Source organism: Homo sapiens, chromosome 4 (assembly GCF_000001405.40).
Source record: "Homo sapiens chromosome 4, GRCh38.p14 Primary Assembly".
Taxonomy (NCBI): Eukaryota; Metazoa; Chordata; class Mammalia; order Primates; family Hominidae; genus Homo; species Homo sapiens.
In genome coordinates, this window is record NC_000004.12 from 112,206,290 (window position 1) to 112,214,885 (window position 8,596).

General features: G+C 40.8%; 1 annotated feature.

The window, feature by feature from the left end:
- Positions 6,944-7,238: a silencer, noted in NCBI's record as "tiled region #3285; K562 Repressive DNase unmatched - State 24:Quies". NCBI's record gives its function as "represses a minimal TATA promoter and a strong SV40 promoter by Sharpr-MPRA in K562 cells {active_cell/tissue: K562}" and the evidence as "EXISTENCE:reporter gene assay evidence [ECO:0000049][PMID:27701403]".

Consider the following 8,596-nt stretch of genomic DNA (forward strand, 5'->3'; position numbering starts at 1 on the left):
ATATTTGAACTAAGCAGTCTCAACCCTTGGATCTTTGGGTGTCTAGGAAGTGCAAAACTGGACAGGCAGCACTCCTAACGTGGTTAGCATAAGTAATTTCTATACATTAACTACTCAAGAGTGGCCATAGAGAAGCAGATGCTGTTAACATGAGAATAATAAACTGTAATTACATACACAAAAAGGCTTTAAAACTTTTATACCTATCCCTACTAATGTTTGGATTAATAAATGACAGGAGAGAGTTTTAAAATGGTTTTATTATTTCTCCAGAGAAAATATGCAAATAGCCAATAAGTACCTGTAACAATACTCACCATCATTAGTCATTAAGAAATGAAAATGAAAATCACGAGATACTAGTTCACAAAAACTAGGCTGGCTATAATCAGTAACAGATAACAAGGGTTGTGTGGCAAAATAGGAATCCTTAATACATTGTTGATGGGAATGTAAAAATCATGCAGCTGCTCTGGAAAACAGTTTGGTAGTTCCTCAAAAAGTTAAAACATCGAGTTTCTATATGACCTAGCAGTTCCATATCTACATATATACTGAATAGAAATGAAAACATCCACACAAAGACTTGTGCATAAATGCTATGAGCAGTATTATTCTTAATAGCCAAAATGTGGAAAAAACCCAAATGTCCATCAGCTGATGAAAGGCTAAACAAAGTGTGGTATATCTTTATAATTATTATTCCGCCATAACAAGGAATGAAGTCCGGGCACGGTGGCTCACGCCTGTAATCCCAGCACTTTAGGAAGCAAGGGATGTTTCTGCTGCTGCGTCGGTGAGCGCAACTATTCCATTCAGCAGGATCCAGGGACCGTTGCAGGTTCTTGGGCAGGGGGAGAAACAAACCAAAACCACAGCGATTTTGTCTTTCAGATGGGAAACCGGCATCAACAGGCTCATCCTTGAAGTGCATCCTAAGCCATTGGGACCAGTTTGACCTGCAAACCCTGAAAAAGAGATGGCTCATTGTTTTTCTGCACTATGGCCTGGCCCCAATATTCTCTCTCTGATGGGGAAAAATGGCCACCTGAGGGAAGTATAAATTACAATACTATCCTGCAGCTTGACCTTTTCTGTAAGAGGGAAGGCAGATGGAGTGAAGTACCTTATGTCCAAGCTTTCTTATCATTGAAGGTGAATCCACAACTATGCAAAGCTTGCAATCTACATCCCACAGGAGGACCTCTCAGTTTACCCCCATATCCTAGCCTCCCTATAGCTCCCCTTCCTATTAATAAGCCTTCTCTAATCTCCCCCACCCAGAAGGAAACAAGCAAAGAAATCTCTAAAGGACCACAAAAACCCCTGGGCTATCGATTATGTCCCCTTCAAGCCGTAGTGGGAGAGCAATTTGGCCCAACCCGGGTACATGTCCCCTTCTCCCTCTCTGAATTAAAGCAGATCAAGGCAGACCTGGAGAAGTTTTCAGATTATCCTGATAGGTTCATAGATGTCCTACAGGGTCTAGGAGAAACCTTCGATCTCACTTGGAGAGATGTCATGCTACTGTTAGATCAAACCCTGGCCTTTAATGAAAAGAATGAGGCTTTAGCTGTAGCCTGAGAGTTTGGAGATAACTGGTATCTTAGTCAAGTAAATGATAGAATGACAGCCAAAGAAAGGGACAAATTCCCTACCGATCAGCAAGATGCCCCCAGTATGGATCCCCATTGGGATCTAGACTCAGATCATGGGGACTGGAGTCATAAACATCTGTTGACATGTGTTCTAGAAGGACTAAGGAGAATTAGGAAAAAGCCCATGAATTATTCAATGATGTCCACCATAAGTCAGGGAAAGGAAGAAAATCCTTCTGCCTTCCTTGAGCGGCTATGGGAGGCCTTAAGAAAATATACTCCCCTGTCACTCGACTCACTAGAGGGTCAATTGATCCTAAAAGATTATCCAATCAGCCACAGATATCAGGAGAAAGCTCCAAAAGTGAGCCCTGGGCCCTGAACAAAATCTGGAGGCATTATTAAACTTGGCAACCTTAGTGTTCTACAATAGGGACCAAGAGGAACAGGCTGAAAAGAAACAGCAAGATCAGAGAAAGGCCGCAGCCTTAGTCATGGCCCTCAGACAAACAAACCTTGGTGGTTCAGAGAGGACAGAAAATGGAGCAGGCCAATCACCCGGTAGTGCTTGTTATCAGTGTGGTTTACAAGGACACTTTAAAAAAAGATTGTCCAACAAGAAACAAGCCGCCCCTTTGCCCATGTCCATTATGCTGAGGCAATCACTGGAAGGTGCACTGCCCCAGAGGACAAAGGTTCTCTGGGCCAGAAGCCCCCAACCAGATGATCCAACAACAGGACTGAGAGTGCCCAGGGTAAGCACCAGTTCATGTCATCACCCTCACTGAGCCCCAGGTATGTTTAACCATTGAGGGCCAGGAAATTGACTTCCTCCTGGACACTGGTGCAGCTTTCTCAGTGTTAATCTCCTGTCCCGGACAGCTGTCCTCAAGGTCCGTTACCATCCAAGGAATCCTGGGATGGCCTGTAATCAGGTATTTCTCCCACCTCCTCAGTTGTAATTGGGAGACTTTGCCCTTTTCACATGCCTTTCTTGTTATGCCTGAAAGTCCCATGCCCTTATTAGGGAAGGACATATTACCCAAAGCTGGAGCTATTATCTACATGAATATGGGGAACAAGTTACCCATTTTTTGTGCCCTGCTTGAGGAGGGAATCAACCCTGAAATCTGGGCATTGGAAGGAACAAACTCAAGCTCCAGCCTTAAACCTTCCCATGAGACAAAACTTCTCTTTATACATCACAGAGAGAGCAGGAATAGCTCTTGGAGTCCTTACTCAGACTCATGGGACAACCCCACAACCAGTGGCATACCTAAGTAAGGAAATTGATATAGTAGCAAAAGGCTGGCCTCACTGTTTACAGGTAGTTGCGGTAGTGGCCATCTTAGAGTCAGAGGCTATCAAAATAATACAATGAAAGGATCTCACTGTCTGGACTACTCATTATGTAAATGGCATACTAGGTGCCAAAGGAAGTTTATGGCTATCAGACAACTGCCTACTTAGATACAAGGCGCTACTCCTTGAGGGACCAGTGCTTCAAATACGCACGTGTGTGGCCCTCCACCCTGCCACTTTTCTCCCAGAGGATGGGGAACCAATCGAGCTTGACTGCCAACAAATTATAGTCCAGACTTTTGCCGCCCAAGAGGATCTCTAAGAAGTCCCCTTAGCTAATCCTGACCTTAACCTAATATACCAATGGAAGTTCATTTGTGGAGAATGGGATACGAAGGGCAGGTTATGCCATAGTTAGTGATGTAATACTACTTGAAAGCAAGCCTCTTCCCCCAGGGACCAGCACCCAGTTAGTAGAACTAGTGGCACTTACCCGAGCCTTAGAACTGGGAAAGGGAAGAAGAATAAATGTGTATGCAGATAGCAAGTATGCTTATCTAATCCTATATGCCCATGCTGCAATATGGAAAGAAAGGGAGTTCCTAACCTCTGGAGGAACCCCCATTAAATATCACAAAGAAACCATGGAGTTATTGCACGCAGTGCAAAAACCCAAGGAGGTGGCAGTCTTACACTGCTGAAGCCATCAAAAGGGGATGGAGAGGGAAGAATAGCAGCATAAGCAGCTGGCAGAGGCAGCAGAAAGGAAAGAGAGAAAGAGACAGAAAATCAGAGAATGAGAGAGAGAGGAAGAAACAGAGAGACAAAGAGAAGGAGACAGAGAGGAAGAGACAGACAAAGAAGGAGTCAAAGAGAGAGACAGAGAGAGGAAGAGACAGAGAGAGAGAAAGTCAAAGAAGGAAAGAGAGGAAGAGTCAAAGAGAGAAGGAAAGAGAGGAAAAGAGAGACGAAGAAGTCAAAGAGAAAGAGAAATGGAAATAGTAAAGAAAAAAACAGTGTACCCCATTCCTTTAAAAGCCAGGGTACATTTAAAACCTATAATTGATAATTGAAGGTCTTCTCTGTAACCCTATAACACTCCAATACCACCTTGTTTTCAGTGTAAACAAGGGCATAGCCCGAAAGCACTGAGGCCACTGACAACCTGAAGTCAGCGAGACCATGAACCCACTGGAAGGAAGAAACTCCAGACACATCTGAACATCTGAAGGAACAAACTCTGGACACACCATCTTTAAGAACTGTAACACTCACCATGAGGGTCCACGGCTTCATTCTTGAAGTCAGCGAGACCAAGAACCCACCGGAAGGAACCATTTCTGGACACAGGATCACGAGGTCAGGAGATCGAGACCACCCTGGCTAACACGGTGAAACCCTGTCTCTACTAAAAATACAAAAAATTAGCCAGGCGTAGTGGCGGGCACTTGTAGTCCCAGCTACTTGGGAGGCTGAGGCAGGAGAATGGCGTGAGCCCAAGAGGCGGAGCTTGCAGTGAGCCGAGATTGCACTACTGCACTCCAGCCTGGGCAACAGAGCAAGACTCCGTGCCAAAAAAAAAAAAAAAAAAAAAAAGGAATGAAGTACTGATACATGCTACAATGTGGATGAACCTTGCAAACATTATGCTAAGTGAAAGAGTCCAGATACACAGATACACAAGGTCACATATTGCATAATTTCATTTATATAAAATGTCCAGAGACAGAAAATAGATTATGGGTAGCCAGGGACTGAGGGGAGGGAAGAACGAGGAGTAACTGCTAGGGTACCAGATTTCTTTGGGGGATGATGATAATGTTCTGGAATTAGACTGTGGTGATGGTTGTGCAATCTTGTGAATATACTAAAAGCTACTGAATTGTACACTTTAAAGGGGTGAATTATATGGGTATGTAAATTATATATCAATAATCTTTTTTTTTCATTTCATTAGGAACTGCATGCCTAAGGTCAGGGTATCAATATGATCAAGTTTATTGACTCATGGGTACAAGCATCCTGTGAGCTGATTCTTTGGGAGCTCATGATATTATTAATATTACTTACTTGATAGCATACTAAAACTAATCAATGCAGACCATATTTAAAATATCTTCATGATATACTAATTCTTAAGTTTTACTTTGAAATCTATCAAAAAGAAAGGTAATGTGACACATAAATAAAAGCAAATTTGATTATTTTACAGATTTTCATTATAATAGGACAGTGGTTCTGGTCATTTTTAGACATCTTACCACCAAGCCTGAACTACCACGCAGTAAAAACTGACAACAATCTGACCCTAAATATCAAATTAGACTCATTACAGCAAGTAACTAGCAGCTTATGTATGATCAAAATCTGATTTCTCATAGCCATGAACATATTTCCTTCCTTTACACACTGACCAAGAAGTCTGTATTTTAATTACTATAAATTATACCTTATTATGACTAATCTAAAAATGGGAATCCTTTTTTAATGTTGGGCATATACAGCAGTTATTAAATTTCTATGTTTTATTGGTAGATTTCAATGAAAACATCTAAATTCTCTGGGGTTTTCTCTGTAATTATTTGGTTGTTAATATAGTATAATAAGAGGACAATAAAATCACTGAATGGGGCTGAACCCCTCATTTCTCTTTTCTTCCCCTACACACATGGCATATTCATGTAATTTCATTTTAAGGTGTTAATTAAGGCTGGCATGGTGGCTCACGCCTATAATCCCAGCACTTTGGGAGGTTGAGGCGGGAGGATCGCTTGAGTGCAGGAGTTCAAGATCAGCCTGGGCAAAATAGTGAGAGCCCTACAACAAATAAAAAATGTAAATTAGCCAGGCATGGTGGCAAAAGTCTGTGGTCCCAGCTACCTGGGAGGCTGAAGTCGGAGGATCACTTGAGCCTGGGAGGTTGAGGCTGCAGTGAGCCATAATTGTACCACTGCACTCCAGCCTGGATAACAGAGCAAGACCCTGTATCGAAACAAAGAAAAAAGTTGTTAATTAAAATATTTTTGTTTAGCATTCAATAGGAAATTGTTGCTGAAACACCAGGTATTCTGTCTAGGTCCTGCTGCTCACAGCTCATAAAGCCAATCACTGAGACAACAATTATTGCCAAGGAAGAAGGCTTTAACCAGGTGCTACAGCTGAGGAGATGGGAGATCAATCTCAAATCCATCTCTGACTAACTAAAATTAGGCGTTTATATAGCAGGAAAGAAATGTAACAATGTATAAGAAAACAGCAACTAGGGAGGGGTAAGGAAGTGATCATAATGAATGAAGGGACTGCCATCTCATTGTCTGGATGCAGTGATCTTGTGAGTTTCAGTTCTTTGACACATTTTTTAAGAGGACTTCTGGAGGAAGAAGCCCAGATAAAATAAATGTAAGTTTCAAGCTTTAAGACCAGAACAGTTAATTTCTATGTTTATGAAAAAAACAATCTATGGCAGCAGTCTCCAACATTTTTAGCACCAGGGACTGGTTTCGTGGAAGACAATTTTTCCACAGACAGTGAGGGCCATGGTTGTGGGATGAAACTGTTCCACCTCAGATCATCAGGCATTAGATTCTCATAAGAAGCATGCAACCTAGATCCCTGGCATCCACAGTTCACAATAGGGTTCACACTCCTAAGAGGATCTAATGCTGCTACTGATCTGACAGGGGATGGAGCTCAGGTGGTAATGCTCACTCGTAGCTCACCTCCTGCTTTGCAGCCCGGTTCCCAACAGGCCATGGATGGGGGCTGGGGACCCCTGGTCTATGGGACTATTGGGTCAGTTTCAAAATGTTTATGCCAATAAAATAGACTTTTCTTATAACCTTGAATTAGTTATCTGCTGCTACATAGCAAATTACCCCAAATCATAGTGACTAAAAATAAAAATTTTATTATCTCAGTTTCTGTGAATCTGGAATTTAAGAGCCACTTAGCTGGGTGGCTCTGGCTCAGGAGCTCTCATGAAGTTGCTAGAGCTGCAGGCATTCACAGCCTTGATTGAAACTGGAGGATCCATTTCTACAAAGGCTCACGTGCATGGCTATTGGCAGTAGGCCTCAGTTCCTCATTGCACATAGAGCTGTTTCATGTATCCTCCCAACTTGTCACCTGGCTCCCGCCCCACCCCCAGGCCAGTGATCTGAAAGAGAGAGCAAGGAGCAGGCCACAAAGCATTCTATGATCTCATCTTGGAAGCTGCACATTATCACTTCCACCATACTCAATTCATTAGAAGTGAGTCCCTAAGTGCAGCCCATACTCAGAGAGAGAGGAATCAGTCTCCACCTTTAGAAGGGAGGAATGGCAAAGAATTTGTGGATGTATTTTAAAATCTCTACAAATCCCTTTAAAATAAGTTGATTCGTATGAGTATACTTTATGCTTTAAAAATAAGCCTAATATATGTATTAATTTGCCTCTGAATCTTACTTTACTAATTTTGAAAGTTATATGATCGGATTGTAATTCTTTTGTTTCAAAATTTTTTCTCCATTTCATATATTATTACTCTCTGTGAGAAAAAGTCAAAGACTAACAAGAAAAGTACTGTGATAAAGATTACTAATTCTCATCACATATCCATGTGCTTGTGTATATTTCACTGCCTTCCTTTGGGGACTTATGACAATTTTTGGCCAATAAAATGTAAGTGGTAGTAATGAATGTCACATAAATGATAAAAGAGTTAAGAACTAAGTTGCCTTTTTTTATCCCTCTTTTTCCTTGCAATGGCAACCTTGAACAACACATGTTCTAGCTGGTACAGCTACAAGAAGAAAGAGGGTGTCCTAATAGTGGATTGTGTTGTGAATGAAAAGTAAATGTTTATTATTTTAAGCCACTAAAATGCGGAAATCAACTTTTTAGTCAGCATACCGTACCGAGGGGTGACTAACACATATTGCTTCATTTTAAATGTAGCAATACAAATGTAAAAGTACAGTTCTCTTAGGTCTTGAACAAATTTTTAATTGGAAATTAAGCTATTTCCACTTAAAAACAAGTAATAGAAACTAATACTAGAATATTTAAATCCAGTCAGTGCAGCCTCATGCAGGTAGCTGTGATCTAACTGTAGACCAAAAGAAAAATAGCCTTGAGTAAAAAAACAACTTTAAGAAAGAATTGATAGAGCTTTAATTTCAGAAAAACCCAGAGATTAAGAGAAATGATAAAAGAAGTTTATGACCTTATAGTGAATCCATTCTAAAGTGATACTTCTGAAAGCTGAATGTAAGACTTAAAAAAAACTATGAAAGCAAGAAAAAAAGAATCAAATAAGCATATTCCTAATGTTTGGAGGCTAAAATCTAAGATAATGTTTTATGTGTGACAAAGCCTAGGGCCATTAACATACTAAGTGTGAAAACTGAAACTAAAACTAAATCCCTAAATTAATCACTGTATTTTAGACATCTTGTCATATGTGTCTTTGGTGGAGTAGAAGGTAGACTGAATGAAGGAGGTGAGGAGAATGATGTTCTTCCAAAGAAAAAGTGAAAGAATTGGGAATTAAGAAAAGGAGAGGCAGGAAAGATTCATAAATTGGCAGGAGAAAGAGGGAGCAAGATTATTTTAAATAAAGAAAAATAAGTAGTGATAATGAATTCCATTCATTCAAAAAGAAAAAAAAGGCCCAGTGCATTTATTTCATTTTTTTACCTGCAGGTGGCAGCTCT